This window comes from Homo sapiens, chromosome 22 (assembly GCF_000001405.40).
Source record: "Homo sapiens chromosome 22, GRCh38.p14 Primary Assembly".
NCBI classification, from domain to species: Eukaryota; Metazoa; Chordata; class Mammalia; order Primates; family Hominidae; genus Homo; species Homo sapiens.
This window is the reverse complement of record NC_000022.11, coordinates 18,205,951-18,229,424: the sequence shown is the minus strand read 5'-3', so window position 1 is coordinate 18,229,424 and position 23,474 is coordinate 18,205,951. Positions and strand designations below refer to the sequence as shown.

The 23,474-nt window shown below is 42.6% G+C and overlaps 1 long non-coding RNA gene and 1 pseudogene across 1 annotated transcript; both read right to left on the bottom strand.

Moving 5' to 3' along the window:
- Positions 1–5,262: 5,262 nt before the first annotated feature.
- On the bottom strand, positions 5,263–8,863 carry LOC101060852 (protein phosphatase 1 regulatory subunit 26-like; annotated as a pseudogene).
- An 8,637-nt stretch (positions 8,864–17,500) lies between these two features.
- LOC105372858 (uncharacterized) lies at positions 17,501–20,270 on the bottom strand. The gene is made up of 2 exons (XR_001755425.1): positions 20,185–20,270; positions 17,501–17,780 (listed from the first exon to the last, which is right to left on the bottom strand). It is a non-coding gene; the product is annotated as an uncharacterized LOC105372858 (long non-coding RNA).
- Between the last annotated feature and the right edge of the window lie 3,204 nt (positions 20,271–23,474).

Below are 23,474 nucleotides of genomic sequence, written 5' to 3'. Positions count from 1 at the left end.
AATCTGCCTGATATAACTATTTTGGAACTCTAGACTCTATCAAAGGAGGCTTGTAACCTCCAAATGAAGGCTTAAACTATAATTTTTACTTAATTTTGGTCAATTTCAGCTCTTAGCTCAGCAGTGGCTACCCAATCCCCATGCCCCAGCTTCACGGCAAGAAGCTTTGCATGTGTTCCTGAAGCAGCTTGTACCAAGCTTGTGGGAACAATCATGGGCAATAAGCACTCTGTCCTCCAAGTGTTAGCATCTGCGTTCTGGTTGTTGATTGCTACTTTTGATTATGGAAGGGCAAACACAGAGGCCGGCAGCCATTATTGCTCACAACTCCCCACTCCACTGCTGCAAGCCCTTACCAGACTGAAGCAACTTCTAGGAGATAGAAAAGGCCAGAACCCCATTTCCCTTCCCCTTCATTGTTCTCTTTTCCTTTTTTGGGAGCCAAACATTAAAGACTAGGACACTCAAAAGCAATGGCATACCCAGAGGAAATTAAAGTTACCACACATCCTTGGAGAGAGGAGTGTGTGCCCAGGGAAAGGAGCAGCTTCAGACCTGAGAAGACCTCAAGCTTACAACTCAGGTTGATCCTCAGCATGGAGACAACCTACAACAATGTAAAACATAACAAAACCCCAAAACAGCAAACCTTGAGGAAGAGGAGAGTCTCATCTCCAGAGTTACTGCATTATTATATTCAAGTGTCCAGTTTTCAATACAAAACACAAGGCATACAAAAAACAAGAAAATATGGTATTTCAAAGGAAAAACAACAACAGAAACTGTTCCAGAGAAAGACCAGATGGTAACCTACTACACAAATACTTTAAAACAACTTTCTTAAAGATGGTCAAAGAACTGAAGGAAGATGTGGAGAAAGTCAGTAAAATTATGTGTAAACAAAATGGGAATATCAATAAAGAGATAGAAAACCTAAAAAGAAAAAAAATAAATAAATTCTGGAACTAAAAGTGTAGTGATTGAAATAAAAGTTCACCAGAGGGATTCAAAAGCAGATTTGAGCAACAGAAGAAAGATTCAGTGAATTTGAAGATGGGACACTTGAAATGATCAAGTCAGAGGAACAGAAATAAAGACGATTGTTGAATAGCAAGCAGACATTGTGGAAGTCCCAAAAGAAGAGAGGGAAAGGGGCAGAGAGATCATTTGAAGAAATAATGGCTGAGGCTGAACACGGTGACTCACACCTGTAATCCCAGCACTTTGGGAGGCCAAGGTGGGTGGATCACAAGGTTAGGAGTTCGAGACCAGCCTGGCCAATATGGTGAAACCCCGTCTCTACTAAAAACACAAAATTAGCCAGGTGTGGTGGTGCATGCCTGTAATCCCAGCTACTTGGGAGGATGAGGCAAGAGAATCGCTTGAACCCAGGAGGCAGATGTTGCAGTGAGCCGAGATTGTGCCATTGCCCTCCAGCCTGGGCAACAAGAGTGAAACTCCGTTTAAAAAAAAAAAAATTAGCTGGGCGTGGTGGCACGTACCTGTAGTCCCAGCTACTCAGGAGGCTGAGGCAGAAGAATCGCTTGAATCCAGGAGGCAGAGGTTGCAGTGAGCCAAGATCACACCACTGTACTCTAGCCTGGGCAACAGAGCGAGACTCTGTCTCAAAAAAGAAAAAAAAAAAGCTGAACACTTCCCAAATTTGATGAAAGACATGAAAATAAATATCCAGAAAACTCAATGGACTCCAAGTAGGATGAAAAAAAAAAGACTCATACTGAGACATTATAATTAGCCAGTAGGGCCTCTTGAAAGCACCAAGAGAGAAGCAACTAGTCACATGCTAGGAATATATAATAGGATTATAAGTAGATTTCTCATCAGACACTTTGGAGAACAGAAGACAATGGGATGACATATGTAAAGGGCTAAAAGAAAAACAACCACTACCTCTCAACCAAGAATCCTATATCCAGCAAAACTGTCCTTCAAAAGTGAGGAAGAAATTGGGAAATCCCCAAATAAACCAAAGTTGAGAAGTTTGCTACCATTAGACCTGCCCTGCAAGAAATCTTAAAGAGAATCATGCAGGTTGAAAAGAAAGAACACTAGATAGTAACTCAAAGCCATATGAAGAAATAAAGATGCCAGTAAAAGTAAATATATGGGAAAATATTAAATCTAGTATTATCGTAACTTTGGTTTAAAACTCCATGTTTTGCTTTCTACATAATTTAATAGACAAATGCATTAAAAACAATTATTAGTTTATGTTTATGGACACACAATGTACAAAAATGTAATTTTGTGACATTGATAACTGAAAGAGGAGTGGCAAAACTGTGAGGAGAGTTTTTGCATATTATTGAAATATAGCTGGTATGAATTCAAGTTAGAGTGCTATAACTTTAGAATGTTAAGTGTAATCCCTATGGTAACCACAAATAAAACATTATATAACATAAAAAAGTAAATGAGAAGGGAATTAAAACACTTCGCTACAAAAAATCAACTAAATACAAATGAGATCATGCAGGAAATGGACAAAAATGCTGTAAGGCATATAGAAAATGTATAGCAAAATGCCAGAAGTAAGTCCCCCCTTATCAGTAATTACTTTATTACTTTTTAAACCATTTTGTTGAGGAATGATTTACATAAAAACTGTACATATTTAACGTACACATCTTGATAAATTTACACCATAAAACCATTATCATCAAGCCTATAAACATATCCATCACCTTTTAAAATTTCCTTCTGCCTCTTTATTATTATTATTGTATAAAAAAATGTTTTTAATGGCCAGGTGCGGTGGCTCACGCCTGTAATCCCAGCACTTTGGGAGGCTGAGGCAGGCAGATCACCTGAGATCAGGAGTTGGAGAGCAGCCTGGCTAAGATGGCAAAACCCCATCTCTACTATAAATACAAAAATTAGCTGGGCGTGGTGGCGGGTACCTATAATCTGAGCAAAGTACTGGGAGGCTGAGGTGGGAGAATCTCTTGAACCTGGGAGGCGGAGGTTGCAGTGAGCCGAGACAGCACCATTGCACTCCAGCCTTAGCAACAAGAGTGAAACTCTGTCTAAAAAAAAATAATAATAATAAAAGTTTTTAATTAAACAATTTAAGAATATAGTATCATTTTCTGTGGGTACTATGCTGTATAGCTCTCCAGAACTTACTTATCTTGCATAACTGAAATTTGTACACTTTAACCATCAACTTCCCATTTCCTTCTCTTCCCCAGCTCCCAGCAACCACCATTCTGTTCTCTTCTTCTGAGTTTGACGTCTTTAGGTTCCACACATAAGTGAGATTGTACAATATTTCACTTTCTGTGTCTGGCTTATTTTACTTAACATAATGTCCTCCAGTCCATCTATGCATAGAAATGCAACTGATTTTTGGATGTTGACTCTGTATCTTGCTACTTTATTGAATTTATTACTTCTAACAGTCTTTTAGTGAAGTCTTTACAGTTTTCTATACATAAAAATATGTCATCTATGGAGACCATTTTACTTCCATTCTTATTTCTTTACTTGCTTAATTGTTCTGGCTAGGACTTCCAGTCCTATTTTGAGGAGAAATGGTGAGAGTAGGAATTCTTGTCTTGTTCTTCATCTTCGAGGAAAAACGTTCAGTCTTTCACTGTTGAGTATGTTACATGTGGTCTTCATTATGTTGAGGTACATTCCTTCTGCGCCTAATTTGCTCAGTTTGTTGTTTTTTTTAATCATGAAAGGATGTTGAATTTTATCAAGTGCTTTTTAATAATAAAAATAAAGGATTTTTATCGTTTATTGTGTTGATGTGGTGTATCACATTTAGTGACTCTTGTATGTTAAAGCATCCTTGCATGCCAGAGATAAATCCCACTTGATCCTGGTAAATAATTCTTTTTTTGTTTTTTATTTATTTATTATTTATTTATTTTTTTGAGATGGAGTCTCGCTCTGTCATCCAGGCCTGAGTGCAGTGGCGCGATCTCGGCTCACTACAAGCTCCGCCTCCCAAGTTCACGCCATTCTCCTGCCTCAGCCTCCCTAGTAGCTGGGACCACAGGCACCCGCCAGCATGCTCAGCTAATTTTTTTTTTTTTTGGATTTTTGGTAGAGACTGGATTCATGGTGAATAATTCTTTTAATGCACTGTTGAATTTGGTTTACTAGTATTTCATTGAGGATTTTTGCATCTATGTTAACCAGGGATATTGACCTATAGTTTTCTTATTTTGTAGTGTTCTTATCTGGCATTGATATCAGGATAATGCTGGCCTCTTAGAATGAGTTTCAACGTGTTCCCTTTTCTTCAATTTTTTTGGAAGAGTTTGAGAAGGATTGTTATTAATTCTTTAAATGTTTGTTGAAATTGACCAGTAAAACCATTTGGTCCTGGGATTTTCTTTGTTGGGAGATTTTTCATTACTGGTTTAATCTCTACTTATTTTTTCTGTTTTTTTTTTTTTTAATTATACTTTAAGTTCTGGGGTAGCCGTGCAGAAAGTGCAGGTTTATTACTTAGGTATACATGTGCCATGGTGGTTTGCTGCACCCATCAACCCATCATTTACATTAGGTACTTCTCCTAATACTATCTCTCCCCTTGCCCCCATCCCCCAACAGGCCTCAGTGTGTGATATTCCCTGCCCTGTGTCCAAGTGTTCTCATTGTTCAACTCCCACTTATGAGTGAGAACATGCGGAGTTTGGTTTTCCGTTCCTGTAGTTTTCAGATGTGCTCTGGCCTCCAAGGACCATGAAGCCAGGCGGTGGTGGGGGGGTGTCCTCTGTATAAAAAGTGCTGTCCCAGGAACTTCCTGACGGACACTTTGGGGCATGTGAGCGATTCCTGGGGAGGGCACCTCGGCCTTCCTAAGGCTACCCCTGCAGCCAGCGCTGGCCATTCTCACCAGCAACCAACCAAAAAACATCAGAGTCCCTGTAAACCTGGTTGTGATGATAAAAACCAAATGTTTTCTAATCTAAGACTTGTATGCAGAACACAGAAAACTGCAGTTAAGGAACACCCTACAAAATTGACCAACAGTATTTTCCAAAAACATTTTTCATCACTTTAAATAATGTACAAAATCTACAAAAATCATATTTACCAGGACACATCTGTTAAATAAAAGCATTGTTTCGTGTTGGTATACATATATACAAGACTATGTATAACAGACTGTTTCCCCTCCCTGCAACCACAGAACCATCACACACAGGCACAGATACACGTCGGCTATGCCGCTTTCCACGAATGCATGGAACCCAGGACGCGAACCCACAGCTCGAGGTCTTATACCTTCACTACTGAGCTGCCACCACTGCAGCAGCAACACCTCTGCGGAGGTGTTGCTGAAATCACTGGTGTCCCTGCCCAAGGTGTCCTGGTCCTGGTCAACTCTACTGATTGACCCTTCGTGGATACCTCAGGTCTAAAATCCTTTCCTCCGAGCCAGAGCTCTTCCTGTTGTGCAAACTCAGCCCCGTCTGTACCTTCCTGCTTGGCCGGTGATCGCAGTCCTTCTTCGCCAGCAAGTGTGGGCTTCCAAAGACAGGGCTGGGCCTGGCCTGGGACTCCCTGAAGGCCGAGAAGGACAGGCCCTGCAGAGGCAGCCCCAGGTAGGGGCTGAAGAGGCCGGTCTCCCTGCCCCCCCAGGAGACACCCTTTCCAAAGTGGAAGAGCTGGGTGGACAGCAGCGGGGAGAAGCCCGCAAGGGGCAGGCTGGGCAGGCCCCGGGCGGGGCCCTCGGACCCCTTGTCTCTCTCTCCCAATGCCGCCCCCTCCACGCCGCATCTCTACCTTTGGAGCGCAGTGCCCATGGGCTGGGCAGCCGACTGTGGTGGGCAAAGTCACTCCAGGGCGGGGCGCGGTTGGCCTGGGCCCCAGCATCCCTCTCAGCTCCCGGGCTGGGGGTCAGGAAGCTCCGGTTCCTGCAGTCCACGTGAAAGGTCCCCCTGGCTCCTCCTGCCTCGGTGCCCGCTGTGGCACAGCTGGGCCGCTGACCAAAAGCACTTTTGGCAGCAGGCTCAGCCCCTCGTGGGCTCTGGTCTTTGTAAATGTAAACATTTCTCTTGCTCACTGAGAGACCTTGGCGGAGACACTGCCGCTGGTCCTCCTGGGTGGCGCATGATCCCCTCCGCCGGATCAGTGGGGAGCCCCTTCCCACCCTGGCTGAGCAGGCACGCTGCGCCCTGTGCTCCTGCGCTCCCTGCGCCTCGATGCCCTTTAGCCAAATGTGGGACCCCCCGGCCCTCTGGCTCCGTGTGCACATGCCAGGCAGTGGGGCCGGCTCCTTCCTGCAAGGTACCTCTGGCCTGGCTGGGCCCCCTGTCCCGAGAGCGGTGGGGCCCTCTGCCTGAACTTCTGAACTGCTCACCGACTCCTTGGCCTTTTCCACCAAAAACTTCCTAATCTCCAGTTCGATGCTATCGTCGCTGTCCACTGAACTGCTGTTGTCAGACAAGGAGCCAGGGCTGGGAGCTGGGCCCTGGGACTCTCTGGGGAATAGATTCTCTTCGGAGGCGGAGGCAGAAGCGGGTCTCCTCACCAGGAAGGCCGAGGCTTCGTCCTCTCGGCCCTGCTGCCAAAGACACTGGGGGGTTTCTTCCTGGAGCCCTCGCAGCTGTCTCTCTTGGACTTAGGCAGCTCTTCAGCACCTGCAGGTGCCTGTTTTTCCACTCTCTCAGGAGCCTGCCCAGCTGCTCCTGGAAGTGCGTCTGGGAGGTGCTGAACCTGACCTTCTTCCTGCACACAGCCCTGGGCTCCCTGGACCTCTTCTTGAGCTTTCACTTGGACCTTAACAAGTCCTTGATGGCTGTGTCCAGGTCCTTGTCACTGTCCAGGGAACTGCTTTTGTCTTCGGAGCTCTTCTTCTTGTCTAGGTGCCTTGCCTCGTCTGTCTTACCCTGGCCCTGTGACGTGCGAGTGTCACCGGGCACCCTAGCGGCGCCCTCTCCTCCCGGGGCCTCGCTGGCTGTGCCCTGGATGGAAAGGTCCCGCCCCTCATGGCCGGGCCCGGCTCTCCCCTGGCTGCGGTCGGCATCCTGGCCACCCTCTTTCCCCACCACCCGCATGTTCTTGGGAGTGGATGGCCTCACTTGGCAGCCGCCTCTATGCTTCCTTTTGCAGCCAGGAGTGGGTCCAGTGTTTTAGAGAGAGGGGCCTTGGGGCTGCCGGTCTGGCTGCTGAGGCCAGGTGGTGAAAGTGGGCCCTGGGCAGCCTGAGGGCAGCTCTCACCTCTGGCCAGCAAACTTCTAGACTGCACCTTGAGGGCCAAAAACGTCCAGATTTCCTGCTCAATGCTGTCGTCGCTGTCCACGGAGCTACTGTCACCATCAGAGCGGGAAGGCACGTTGGGGGAGTAGAAGAGTGGGCTTGCGGACAGGGACCCATCGCTGCCCTCCATAGGGCCGGCAGGATCGTCTTGAAAATGTCCAGGACTGCTTCTACACACATCAGCTCAGCGGAGGTGTCTGCCTGGCAAGAGGACCATTCCACAAACTTGCTCCTGGAAGCCGGGCTCGTTGGAGGTGGAGCTTTGGTTTCCTTTGGGATCTTGGGGGAATGGTCAGCGTCCAGATCCCCTGGACCAGGGTCCGTGGTCTTGGTGGGCACTGGCTTCTTCTTGCTGGGTGTTTTCCTGTGGGTCTCTGGCAAGGCACTTTTTGTGGCGCTGCTTGTGCTGTGTGCGGGAGGGGCAGGTGCTCTTTCCTCTTGGAGCTGGACCCTCTGGGGCGGGTCCCCGTCGGCCTCCTTGTGTGTTTTCTGCACCTGGTACAGCTGGATGGCCTCCTCAATGCCGTCGTCGCTGCTGGAGTCGGACGCCTCGGGAGCCTGTACGGCGCTCGTGACTCGCTTTCCCCTCCTTGCGGTGCTGGCGCTCCTTTTAATCCCACTTTTATTCTGTACTGCTTCTGAAGGGCGGTGGGGGTTGCTGGCTTTGTGCTGCCCTCCTTCTCCTGCGTGGTCGTGGTCGTGACCTTGGACCTGAGGCTTCTGGGCTGCACGTTTGTCTTTGCTAACCGGGGGAGGTCTGCAGAAGGCGAACTCCTTCTGGACGCCCATCAGGCCCTGCCGGTGCACCACCTTTGTAGCCGGCTCTTGGTGGGATTTCGAGAGTGACTTCGCCGAATTTTCATGTGTGTCTGGTTTCTTCTCCACTGACCCATCACATTTTTGGGTCTCATGCTGTCTTTTCTCATTCAGAAACTGTTCTATTTCTGCCCTGATGCTCTGCTCAAAGGAGTCTGCTCTGCTCATGCTGACTGGGGAGGCAGAGCCCTGGTCCTTGCTGGATCCCACCTGGCTGCCAGGGCCACACCACCTGAGCCAGGTACAAGTTTTGGGGAACACAGGGCAGTTGGGCACTGCTGTGAGCCAGTTCCCGCTTACATCTACTGCCTCCGCCCGCAGCCCTGGAAGGCTGTGCATGGCTGGGCCCCGCTGGCCCCGGGCTGTGCGGCTCCACTCTTTACCTTCAGGTACTCCTGGATGGCCTCCTCAATGTCCCGGTCCACGGAATCGTCACTGTCTGAATCTAGCACCAATGGGCCAAAGTCTGCAGTTTCCTCCTCCCCCACGGGGTCAAAGTCAGCAACAAGACCACAGGCAGCCAACGCAGGCAGCTCCTTGTGCATGGTGGGCTTGGCAGCAGGCCTGGCGTCGTGGCATCCCTCTGCCCCCTCTGCGCAGTGCGCTCATCGCTGGTGCCCCTAGCAGCCCTGTCGCTCTGCAGCGTGCTGATGAGCATCTGCACCCGGGTGCTCACCGACATGCTCTCCACGCCCTTGTCAGCCTCCGAGAAGCACCCGGGGAACCTAAAGCTCCCTGGTGGGACAGAGGCCTCCCATTTGGGCTGGAGAGCAACCACTGGAGGAGCATTCATGAGAAACATTCTAGCAGATGGGGAGCGACGCGCAGAGGGGCGACACTTTATTTCTCTGCAGGCTTCACATCCTCCAAAGATTGGCAAGCAGTACCCGTGAAATAACTTTAAACCTGCAAATGCTTCTTTGCAGGTTTAAAAGGATGACTATAAACTATGACGTCATGCCTAGATTCATTCTTGACCCAACCAACAAGCTCTTGACATTCTCTGAGTCCAGGTTGACTGTGATGAAAGGCAGCTAGTGTTCCCAAATGGCCCAGGGATCAGGTCTTCATCGCTCCACTCAGAGGGAAGCATCCTCTCTCTGCTTTTTAAATAGACTTTTGACTGGGGCTCCAGCAGCGCGGGGCGCGCAGACCTGGAGTTGCATGGAGGCCAGAGCCACGACACCCGCCTGGGGAACGGAGCAGCCCCAGGCGCTGATCCCCGTCCACCTGCCCCACGGAGCCCTCGCCGCCCGCTTGCCACTGCCTGCATGGCCCTCCTGTCCCCGGCCCCCCAGCCCTCCTTTCCCCAGCTCCCCCACCCTCCTGTCCCCGGCACCCCAGCTTCCCAGCCCCCGAAACCGCCCCCCCACCTCGACCCGGCCCATGCCGCAAGTCGCCAGCTGGGCGGACCCGGCCTCCGCCCGCCTCCTGCGTCCTGGGGGAGGCGGCTGCCGGGGGTGGTGGGGGAGGGGGAGGGGGAAGAGGCCGCCCTCCGCCCGGGTGCGGGGAGGGGGCGCAGGGGTGTCCGGCCAGGCCCCCCGCCTCCCCGCCTCCCCGCAGCAGCTGCCCCGCGCCCGGGCCGCCTAATACTTTTACATTTTAACTTTTATACTACAGTGAAAAGTGATTTACACACCACCACTGCAATATTACAGTGTTATGAATGTGACTATATACTTACCTTTCCCTGTGAACTTTTTTTTTTGAGACAGAGTCTCGCTCTGTCGCCCAGGCTGGAGGGCAGTGTCCATGATCTCGGCTCACTGCAAGCTCTGCCTCCCGGGTTCAAGTCATTCTCCTGCCTCGGCCTCCCGAGTAGCTGGGACTACAGGCACCCGCCACCACGCCTGGCTAATTTTTTGTATTTTTAGTAGAGACGGGGTTTCACCGTGTTAGCCAGCATGATCCCCCTCTTCTGACCTTGTGATCCACCCGCCTTGGCCTCCCAAAGTGCTGGGATTACAGGCGTGAGCCACTGCGCCCGGCCTACCTGTGAACTTAATATCTTAATGTTTTAATGTTGCTAATCAGAATCCTTTTATTTCAACTTGAAAAACTGCCTTATAAGGCAGGTGCAGTGGTGATGAACTCCCTTAGAATTTTTTTGGTGGGAGTCTGGGAAAGACCTTATCATCTCTTTTTCATTTCTGAAGGACAGCTTTACAAGTTGTGGTCTTCCTGATTGGCAGTTTTTTTCTTCCAATACATTGAATATAGCATCCTATTCTCTCCTGGCTTATAAGGTTTCTGCTGAGAAATCCACTGATAGCCTTATTGAAGTTTCCTTGTATGTGATGAATTCCTTTCTTCTTGCTGCTTTTGAAAGTCTCTGTCTTTGACTTTTGATATTTTAATTATAATACATCTTGGTATTATGGTCTTTGGGCTGGCCTTTTTTGGGGCCTCTGAACTTCATGTGTCTGGAAGCCCACTTGCCTCTAAGAATTTGGAAAGTTTTTACCCATTATGTCTTCAAATATACTTTCAGGCCTTTTCTATCTTTTTTACTTCTAGGAAGTCCATAATATGTTTGACCCACTTCATGGTGGTGTCCTATAAATCCCAAAGGTTTTTACTTATAAACTTTTTTTTCTTTCTGGTCTTCTGACGGGATATTTCAAATGTCCTGTCTTTAATTTCACAGATTCTTTCTTCTGTTTGATCAAGTCTGCAATTGAAATTCTCTATTGCATTTTCATTTCATTCATTTATTTATTTTTATATATTTTTGAGACAGAGTCTGTGTCACCCAGGCTTGAATGCAGTGGTGCCATCTTGGCTTACTCCAACTTCCACCTCCCGGTTCAAGCGATTCTCCTGCCTCAGCCTCCCTAGTAGCTAGGATTACAGGCATATGCCACCATGCCTGGCTAATTTTTGTATTTTTAATACAGATGGGGTTTTGGCATGTTGGCCAGGCTGGTCTTGAACTCTTGACCTCAAGTGATCCGCCTGCCTCGGCCTCCCAAAGTGCTGGGATTACAGGCGTCCGCCACGGCACCCAGCTTGCATTTTCATTTTATTCATTGTATTCTTCAGTTCTAGAATTTCTGTTTGGTTCTTATTATTTCTGTATCTTTATTGAACTTTTAGCTTTGCTCATCTACTATTTTCTTGATATTATTGAGTTGATATATACATTCTAGTAAATTTCACTGAGCTATCTTAATTATTTTGAATTGTCAGGCAATTTGTAGATCTCTATTTTTGGGGGGTTGATTACTGGAGATTTATGAGTTTATTTTGGTAGTGTCATATTTGCTGATTCTTCATGATCTACAGACTTTCATTAATGTCTATGAAGAAGCAAATACCTCTTCTTTTTTTTTTTTTTTTTTTTTTTTTGAGACAGAGTCTTGCTCTGTCACCCAGCTGGAGTGCAGTGGTGTGATCTCAGCTCACTGTAACCTCCACCTCCCAGGTTCAAATGATTCTCCTGCCTCAGCCTCCCAAGCAGCTGGGATCACAGGCATGTGCCACCACGCCTGGCTAATTTTTTTGTATTTTTTGTAGAGACAGAGTTTCACCGTGTTGTCCAGGCTGGTCTCAAACTCCTGGCCTCAAGTGGTCTGCCCGCCTTGGCCTCCCAAAGTGCTGGGATTACAGGTGTGAGCCACCATGCCCAATCTCTTTCTGTCTTTATAGATTGGTTTCAGCAGGTACAAACCTTTTCCTGCTGGATCCCTTGACTGGATCACAGTCAAGTGGGCCTGGAGCCATATTACATGGCTGCTGCCTGGTCTGCAGCTGAATCTCTGATTGGCAGGCCGCTATCAAGGCATAGGTTGGTGATGCAGTTTCTGCTGGATCCTCAGGAGAACTGGACTGCCTCTGATACCCTGATTGAACAGGACTGGAGCCAGGTCATGGGGCCACTTCTAGTTCTACAGTCAAGTCTTCAGATATCAGGCCTATTACCAAGGGCATGGACTGGTATAGCTCCCTGTGGGTCCCAGATTGAGCTCCTGCTGGTTTACTAGGTAGGTCCATGGGAAGACAGGACTGCCTCCAGACCACAGTAGAGCAGGGCTAGAGCCAAGTCACAGGACAGCTTTGGTGACCACATTTGAGTTCAAGATTGGTGGTCCTCTTATTAGGAGAATGGATGGTATGTCTTTCACCAGGTCCCAGGATGGGCTGGACTGTGCCCAGACTGTGGCAAAGCAAGACTGGAATGGAGTCACAGGGCTACTTTAGTGTCCATAGCTGAGACTGAGATCAGCAGGCCTGTTACCAAGGGTATGTAAAGGCATCACTGAATTCCTGGGCAGGCATGACTGACTGTGGTAGAGTGGGGCTGAAGCCAGGTCAGGGCTGCTTTAGTTTCTGCAGTCAGGACCATGGTTAGAAGGCCTGTTACTGGGGGCATAAATGGTCATGGTTCCTCCTAGGTGCTTAGTGGATGGGGCTAGTTGCAAGACCATGATCTAGTGGAGCTGGACCCAAGTCCATAGGAGGACAAAGCTGCTTTCAGTCTGCAACTGGTAACCTGTCACTGGTGTGTGGACCTGCCTTCTCAAAGCAGCTCTCCTTGGTTTTGGGCTTTGCTAGAGTTTTGCCACCTCCTGCCTGGATATTAAAACTCTTGCAAAGGCAGTTTTGTCCATGAATGGCTGCCAGATCATTGTTTGTGTGGGGAGAGGTGAGTGGAGGGCCTCCTGTTCTGCCATCTTGCTGATGTCACCCTAAGATGATTATTTGAATTCTTTGTCAGGCAATTTGTAGATCTTCATGTCTTTGGAGTCAGCCACTGGAGTTTCATTTTGTTTCTTTGGTGGTGTCATATTTTCTCATGCTTCCTGTTCTTTGAAGACTTAGATTGCTTTCTTCATGTTTGAAGAAGGAGTCATCTTTTCCACTCTTTACTAACTTCAGGAGAGAAAGACCATCAATTAGCTAAGCTATAGATTCTGGGGGTCTCTCAGTCCTTTTCTGTGGGTGGTCCTTCCCTTTTAAGGGGGATGTCTTAGGATTTTGTCCCTTGTCTTCATTTCACAAATGAATAAAACAACCAGACCAGACATAAGTAAGGAAATACAGCACTTGAACAACACCTGAAAAAACAACTAGACCTAACAGACATACACAGGATATTCTACCCAACAACATAATACACATACTTCTCAAGTATACATGGGACATTTTCAGGATAGACCATATAACACATCACAAATTAATTCTCAATAGGGGCTGGGTGCAGTGGCTCACATCTGTAATCCCAGAGTAATTTGGGAGGCTGAGGCGGGTGGATTGCTTGAAGCCAGGAGCTTGACATCAGCCTGGCCAACATGGTGAAACCCCATCTCTACTAAAAATACAAAAATTAGCTGGGCGTGGTGGTGCGTGCCTGTGATCCCAGCTTCTTGGGAGGCTGAAGCGTGAGAATTGCTTAGGAGCCCAGGAGGTTGAAGCTGCAGTGAGCAGAGATTGTACCACTGTACTCCAGCCTGTACTTCATGACAAAGAAAATGTACCATTGTACCACTGACAGAACGAGACCCTGTCCCAAAAAAGGAAAAAAGCTCAGTAGATTTAAAACGATAGACATCATACAAAGTGTCTTCTCTGACCACAACAGGATAAAGTTAGAAATCAATAACAGAAGATTTAAAAAAGTTCACAAATTAGTAGAATTTAAACAACACACTCTCAAACAACCAATGGATCAAAGAAATCACAAAGAAATTATAAAATTCTTAAAGACAAATGAAAATGAAAGCACACTATATCCAAACTTATGGGCTGTGGCCAGTTGTGGTGGCTCACACCTGTAATCCCAGCACTTTGGGAGACTGAGGGAGGTGGATAGCTAGAGGTCAGGAGTTCAATTTCAGCCAGGCCAACATGGTGAAACCCTGTCTCTACTAAAAACACAAAAATTAGCTGGGAGTGGTGGTACGTGCCTGTAGTCCCAGCTACCCAGGAGGCTGAGGCATGAAAATTTCTTGAACCCAGGAGGCAGAGGTTGCACCACTGAGCTAACACCACTGCACTCCAGCCTGGGTGACAGAATGAGACTCTGTCTCAAAAAACAAAGAAACAACAAAAAAACACAACTTATGAGTTGTGGTGAAAGGAGTGCTAAGGAGGAAATTTATAGCTATAAACACATTAAAAAAAGAAACACCTCAATTCAACAACATAAGTTTACACATTAAGAAACTAGAAAAAGAAGAATAAAACTAAACCCAAAGTTAGCAGAAGGAAGGAAACAATAGAGATCAGGGCAGAGATAAATGGAAAAGAGAATAGAAAAACAATAAAAAACAAAACCAAAAGTTGGTTCTTCAAAAAGATTAATAAAACTGACAAGACTAAGGAAAAGGGAAACAATCTAAATTACTTAAAACAGAAATGTATTTGAGAATATCTTTATATATTTCTGTCTGTCTGTCTGTCTGTCTGCCTGTCTATGTTTTAGAGACAAGGTCTAGCTCTATTGCCCTGGCAACAATCAGATGCAACCAGAATCAGTGGCACAATCGGCTCACTGCAGCCTTGAATTCCTGGGCTCGCCACTATGCCAGCTCTTTTTTTTTTTTTTTTTTTTAAGAGACAGGATCTTGCCATGTTATCCAGGCTGATCTTGAACTCCTGGCCTCAAGGAATTTTCCCACCTCGGCCTCCCAAATTGTTGGATTACAGGCATGACCCACCATTCCCAGCCTAGAAAGGATTATAAAAGATTACTATAAATAATTGTGTGCTCATAAATTGGATAACCCAGATGAAATAGATGAATTCCTAGACACACAAAACCTACCAAGACTCAATTATAAAGAAACAGAAAGTCAGAATAGACCTAACCTAGTAAGGGAATTGAGTCAGTAATAAGACAATCTCATGACAAAGAAAAGTCCTGGACCTGATAGCTTTACTGGTGAGTTCTGCCAAACGTTTAAAGAAGAACTAACACTGATTCTTTTCAAGCATTTCCAAAGAGTGGAAGAGGAGTGAATACCTCTTAACTCTTTCTATGAGGCCAGCATTACCCTGATACCAAAGCCAAAAACACTGTAAGAAAATAAAACAACAGATCAATATGCCTCTGATCATTGATGCAAAAACTCTAAAAATGCTAGTATACTGGGTGGGGCACGGTGGCTCATGCCTGTAATCCCAGCACTTTGGGAGGCTGAGGTGGGTGGATCACCTGAGGTCAGGAGTTCAAGACCAGCCTGACCAACATAGAGAAACTCTTGTCTCTACTAAAAATACAAAATTAGCCATGTGTGGTGGTGCATGCCTGTAACCTCAGCTACTCGGGAGGCTGAGACAAGAGAATCGCTTCAACCCGGGAGGTGGAGGTTGTGGTGAGCCGAGATCATGCCATTGTACTTCAGCCTAGGCAACAAGAGCAAAACTTTGTCTAAAAAAAAACTATCATACTGAATTCAGCATCATATTAAAAGGATTATACACCATGACCAAGTGGGATTTATTCCTGGAATGCAACGATGTTTCAATATATAAAAATTGATCCATATAAATTCAGACAATTAATTTTAACTGATGTATAGTTTTACATTATATGCACATACCACGATTCACTTTTCCATTTTCCTAGTAATGAGCTTTAAGATTATTTCCAATTTTTAGCTATTACCAATAATGTTTCAACAAACACCTTTGGACATCTCTTCTGCAAATGTGTGTGTATTCTCTTGGAGAAGGTTTACCCTGTGGAATTTCTAGTGTGTATGTGTATGTGTGTGGGTATATATATATACACATATGTATATATTTTCAACTTTACTATATATTTCCAAAAAACTCTTCAAAGTGGCAGATTTAAACTCCCCTTCGCCGTGTATAAATTCACGGTTCCTAAAGCCCTTGGCATAGTTTTGTGTTTTTATAGAAAAGGGCATAAAGTCTTATTGCTGTTGAATTGTACCTTGCTCTTTTCAATTGTCTTTTCACAATAATTCACTATTTATCATCTGTTGTGAATATTGTGTAGTAGTTCTTAATCATTTTTTCTACTATATTATTTATTTTATATCATGAATTTGTAGAAATCCTCTTTATATAATGGATATTATACTTTTCAATTATATATTTTGTAAATATTTTACCCAATTTTCTGGCTTGCATTTAACCTTTATTTAGGATGCCTAGGATTTTTCATTTTAATACAGTCTAATTTATTTTTCTTTTCTTTTCTTCTTCATGCATTCTGGCATTTGATTAATAAGCCATTTGTTGCCCAACGTCATTAGTTCTCTGTATATACTTTTAAATATCTTAAACATGTAATATTCATAAGTAATTTCACAAGTAGTTTAAGATTTGAGTCTTTAACCTAAATAGATACAGGATTTTGTGATATGCTGTAATATACAGATTTTTATTTATATATGGATAAAAATTTATATGTTTTTTCTGACATCATTTATTGAATAGTATAATTTTTCTACTGACTTTTAGTATCATATCTTTTATTACAAGTCCAATGTATTCAGCATATCTATGGATCTATTTCTTGGTGCTTCCATTTTTTCCCATTGTTTAACGGTGTATCACTGAGCCAAAGCAAACCATTTTAATTATTATAATTAAAACACATTTAAATATTGATAGGCTATTATTGTTCAGAATAACTTTGGTTCTTCCTTTCCATTGATTATTTTAATATGACTTTTCCAATCAAGTTCTAAAAAAATACTGGTGGTATATTTATTGAAATAACTTTAATAAAATTAAATGAAAGATCATGTGTTTTCTGAATTAATTCTTAGATACGTTAATGTTTTATGTTACCATGAATGTGATATTATAATATAATATTTTTAATTGGTTGCTACTGTTTATAAGAATTTCATTTTCTCTTTACTTTGCCTTCATATCTGAAAACCTTGCTGATTTGATTAGTGCATCCACAAATTTTCTTGGATTTTCTATGGGTAATTACAAATCTCCACACAATGAGGTTGCAGTGAGCCAAGATCACACCACTGTACTCCAGCCTGGGCGACAGAGTGAGACACCATCTCACAAAAACACATAAACAAACAAACAGAAACTCCACACAATGACAACGTATGTGTTTTCTTTTTTTCTTCCTCTTTCTATAATATTTCTTTGTCCTATCTTAACTGAACTGGCCAGAAACCCCAGGACAATGATAAATACGAGCAGTGTCAACAGACATCTCATTCCCTTTCCTAGCTTTTATAAAAAATAACGATTATGCTTCAACATTACATATGGTGGTGTCGATGGTTTTGTTATAGATAAGCTTATCAGGTTAAGAAATTTGTCTGCTTTTCCTAGTTTGGTATAAAGATTTTAATATAAATGAATGTTGTATTTTACCATCTTATTTTTTTTCCTACATCTGCTAAGGTAATCCTGTGTTTTCCCTTTTTCAATCTCCTAATGTGGTGAATGACATTAAAATACCTTCTATTGTTAAAATATTCTTGCAACGCTGTATAGAACCAATGCCTTTATTCTGTATTGCTGATGGATTTTTGAAAAATATGTAGGTGGACTTAGTTTTCTAAGGGGAATAGAATTTCTAGTATATTTAAACTATTTTGCATGTATGTTCTGAAGGACATTGGTGTGTCATTTCTATACCATCTGGCTACGAGAGGAGCCGACTGAAAGTCACACTGCCGGAGGAGGGGAGAGGTGCTCTTCCGTTTCTGGTGTCTGTAGCCATCTCCAGTGGTAGCTGCAGTGATAATAATGCTGCGGTGCCGACAGTTCTGGAAGGAGCAACAACAGTGATTTCAGCAGCAGCAGTATTGCGGGATCCCCACGATGGAGCAAGGGAAATAATTCTGGAAGCAATGACAATATCAGCTGTGGCTATAGCAGCTGAGATGTGAGTTCTCACGGTGGCAGCTTCAAGGACAGTAGTGATGGTCCAATGGCGCCCAGACCTAGAAATGCACATTTCCTCAGCACCGGCTCCAGATGCTGAGCTTGGACAGCTGACGCCTTGGATCATCTGCCACTGATCTCTGGTCAACATTTTTATCACCCAACACAAAAGAAGCAGAGATTTATCAAGTTACCTGACCCTTTCATCTTTTGCTACACATACTCTTGTAATTGATCTCTCCATGAATTGTTTTCTGTTTAAAATATCTAGAATGTTTTCTGCTTCCTGACTTGATTCTAATATTGTATAGGTACTAGAAATGGTTCTAGAAATAGATCTTTATAGATGAGAATCTGGAAGTGGTTTGCTGACCTGTTTCAGTCTGAATGAATTCCTGACCTTGTTGTCGGGAGGAGACAGAAACCTGATCATCTGTAGTGTACGGTGGTATCATGATTACTTAAATCATCAAATGTGGTTATTGGGAATGATGTGTTTTTTAAAGTGGTACATGAGAGGTAAAATTGCTATTGTAGTTGACTGTTGCAGTTATAATTTTGTCAACATGGTCTGTAAGAGTGCAATGGATTCGGCCCGGTGTGGTGGCTCACGCCTGTAATCCCAATACTTTGGGAGGCCAAGGTGGGCCGATCACGAGGTCAGGAGATCGAGACCATCTTGGCTAACACAGTGAGACCCCATCTCTACTAAAAATACAAAAAATTAGCCATGTGTGGCGGCACACGCCTGTAGTCCCAGCTACTCGGGAGGCTGAGGCAGGAGAATGGCGTGAACCCGGGAGGCAGAGCTTGCAGTGAGCCGAGATCGCGCCACTGCACTCCAGCCTGGGCGACAGAGCAAGACTCCATCTCAAAAAAAAAAAAAAAAAAAAAAAGAGTGCAATGGAAAGCTGGTAGAAAATGGACATTGTTTAAAGACCAAAACAACCACACTACTTTGCTAATCCCTATCAGCTAAAGCCTAGAGAATATATGAGGTATAGATTTACATGGTGTTTGACTAAGGCATGCAGAATATAATCTTGACATAGGCTAAGTTTATCAACATAGATACATAGAGATTCTGAAGTTAAAGTCTTAGCCCAAGAAGTTAGAAGGGGTGCTCAAGTTTGTTTGTCTGACAGAAACTGTGAATCCACACTGGCCTGCTTATTTTGAGGTTGTGTTGCCAGAGCTTTCCTAGCATAATAAAGAGAGGTGCATACAAAGGAATAGGAATAGTAGGAGGTGGGGGTAAAAATATCAGGTGTGATCCACATGCCAAGCCGACCCGCACTGTGTCCCACAGGAAGCCCAGAAGATGTTTCTCTAAGAAATTAAGGATTCGTTTGTTGGGGAGGGCTGCTGGCATGCTTGAAAAGTACTGTGATGGCTGAATTTTGTGGGCTTGGGGAGATTGCAGATTCTCTGATTTCAAGGGGAATGATGTGATCCTAGAGTTGCAAAGAACAAGTGACAGTGGAGGCGCTTATGCTTTGTGACTGCACTAGAGACAAGGAAGACACAACTAGAATAATGGGGAGCAGGAATGGAGCGGCCAACAGAATATGTGACTGTTAGGGATCTTTGATGAAGGCTGATTCTCAGGGAGTGAACTACATCAGTGACCAACTATTTGTCTTTATATAACTGGGTAATGTGGATGGATTCTAATAAAGGGACTACTTACAGCACAGCAGGAAAGTCACAAAGAAACCAGACAGAAGAGTGTAAGTAGTAAGGGGCCAAGCAGTCACCTGACTAGAGACAGTGCCAGCTTGCCAAGAAGGCACCAGACAGAAGCTGTGATCTTCAGCAAAGGGACACAGTCTGCCTGTGCTGACCCTGCAGGGGCAGAGGTGGGGGATAAACACACTCTTCTCTCACCTATCTTCTGCCACCCCCTCCATTAGCTGAACCCCAATAAAAGCATGAGGGTAAGGGAGATCTCTGAAGTATCCAATTCAGGTGAGCCTCCTAAGGAACAAAGCAGAATGCAGAAAAATTAAGAGTGGGTCTAGGGAATAAAATAGAGATATGCACCAGAGTATGATGATGTGTCTGGGAAAGAATATACAAATACTTTTAAAATTACTAGACAATAAACCTGAGATGACACTAATACAGGTAAATCTCATTTAATGGTAATATATTCCAAGAAATGCATCATTAGGTGATTCTGTGGCTGTGCAGACACCAAAGAGTGTACTTTATACAAACCTAGACAGCGTAGCCTACTACATACCTAGGCTATATCGTACAGCCTATTGCTCCTGGGCTACACACCTGTGCAGCATGTCACTGTGCTGAATACAGTAGGCCAATGGTCCCCAACACCCAAGCCATGGACCAGCACCGGTTCGTGTCCTGTTAGGAATTGGGCACAAAGCAGGAGATGAGTGGCTGGCCAGCCGAACATTACTGCCTGAGCTCCGCCTCCTGTCAGATCAGCAGCAGCATTAGACCTTCACAGGAGCACAAACCCTATTGTGAACTGCCCATAGAAGGGATCTAGGTTATGTTCTCCTTATGAGAATCTAACTAGGCTGGGTGCTGTGGCTCACGCCTGTAATCCCAACACTCTGGGAGGTCGAGGCAGGTGGATCACAAGGTCAAGACAATCCTGGCCAACATGGAAACCCCGTCTCTACTAAAAATACAAAAATTAGCTGGGTGTGGTGGCGCATGCCTGTAGTCCCAGCTACTCGGGGGACTGAGACAGGAGAATCACTTGAACCCGGGAGGCAGAGGTTGCAGTGAGCCGAGATTGTGCCACTGCACTCCAGCCTGGCAACAGTGGGAGACTCAGTCTAAAAAAGAAAAAAAAAGAAAAAAAGAATCTAACTAATGCCTGATGATCTGAGGTGGAAGAGTTTCAGCCCAAAGCCATCCCCACTCCGTGGAAAAATTATCTTTCACAAAACCAGTCCCTGGTGTCAAAACTTTGGGGCCCACTGCTGTAGGCAGTTATATCACAGTAGTAATATCTAAACATGGAAAAGATACAGTAAAAACACAGTACATTGGGAGACCGAGGGGGGCGGATCACCTGAGGTTAGAAGTTCGAGACCAGCCTGACCAACATGGAGAAACTCCGTCTGTACTAAAAATACAAAATTAGCTGGGCGTGCTGGCGTGGGGCTGTAATCCCTGCTACTCGTGAGGCTGAGGCAGGAGAATCACTTGAACCCCGGAGGCAGAGGTTGCAGTGAGCCAAGATCGTATCATTGAACTCCAGCCTGGGCAACAAAATAAAACTCCTTCTCAAAAAAAACAAAGAAAAAAATATATATATATTACAAAATTTAAAGAGAGTGGTACACCAGTAAAGGACATTTAGCATGAACAGAGGTTGCAGGACTGGCAGATGCTCTGATGAGTCAGTGAGTACCTGGTGAGTGAATGCGAAGGCCTAGGATATTACTGTACATAACTATAGACTTTATATGCACTGTACACTTAGGCTACACTAAATGTATTTAAATTTTTTCTTTCTTTAACAAGTTCATCTTAGCTTATCATAACTTTATAAACTTTTAATTTTTTTAATTTTTTGATTCTTTGATAATAACACATCTTAAAACAAAAACACATTGAACAGCTGTACAGAAATACTTTATATCCTTATTTGATAAGCTTCATTTATTTTGATTTTTTATGTTTTAAACATTTTTGTTAAAAACTAAGATACAAACACACACACTAGCTTAGTCCTGTAAGGGTCAGGATAATCAATATCACTGTCTTCCATCTCGAAATCTTGTCCAAGTGAAAGGTCTTCAGGGTCTTCAGTGGCAATAACATACATGCAGCTGTCATTCTCTATGATAACAAGGCTTTCTTCTGGAAGAACTCGTGGAAGACCTTCCTGAAGCTGTTTCATAGTTAATTTTTTTTAATGAGTAGTAGTACTACACTCTAAAATATGAATAAAATCTGTAGTATTATACATACTGTTGATCCTTGAACAGTGCAAGGGTTAGGGGACCAGCTCCTGTGCAGTTGAAAATCCATATATAATTCTGGGCTATCCCCAAACTTAACTTAATATGATATATATCATATATAATATATATGATATATATCGTATATATTACATATGATATATATCATATATAATATATACGATATATATCATACATAATATGTATGATATATATTATACACAATATGTATGATATATATTACATACAATAAGTATGATATATATTATATACAATATGTATGATATATATTATATACAATATATGATATATATTATATACTATATGATATAGATTATATACAATATATATGATAGAGATTATATACAATATATATGATACAGATTAAATACAATATATATGATACAGATTATATACAATATATATGATACAGATTATATACAACATATATGATAGATTATATACAATATATATGATATAGATTATATACAATATATATGATATAGATTATATACAATATATATGATATAGATTATATACAATATATATGATATAGATTATATACTACATATGATATACATGATATATCATATATATGATATACATGGTATATCATATATGATATATACGATATATCGCATATATGATATAGATGATATATCGTATATATGACATAGATGATATATCATACCTGATATAGATGATAAATAATATATGATATAGATGATATATATCATATATGATATATCATATATTATATAATAAATGATATATATTATATATAATAAAAGATATATATTACATAATAAATGATATATATTATGTAAAATATATGATATATATTATATATTATATCTGATATATATTATATATTATATATTTTATCTGATATATATTATATATTATATCTGATATATTATATATAATTATATTATATTATATTATATATTATATATTTTATATTATATGATATATAATTATATTATATTATATTATATTATATATATTATATTATATATAATTATATTATATTATATATTATATATTATATTATATATAATTATTTATATAATATATAATATAATATCATATAATGTAATCATATATAATATATAATATATTATATTATAAAATATATTATATTATGATATACTATATATTACATGTTACATTATATAATATTTTGTATAATATATAATATATATTATCTATTATACTTTATTATATTACATATATAATTATACATTATTATATTTCATATATAATTATATAATTATACATAATTATATATATTATATTATATATAATGTTATGTATAACAATATATATTATACATAATATTATATATTATATTAAATATGATATTATATATAAGGATGCAGGATGTAAAAGGAAATTATATATATGTTATATATTATATATATTATATTATACATAATATATATATATATTTGGGGGTGCCCTATTTCCTATCTCATAACTTATTTTAAGAAGCACAGCATAATAATGTGTGGACTTGGGATTCAGTTTTTGAAATGAAACACTGAGCCTTCGATGACCTTCCTGTACATGTGAAAGCACACCTGTCTGCATGGCAGCAGTTGGACCTCACAGTGTGGATTGTGCCTTCAC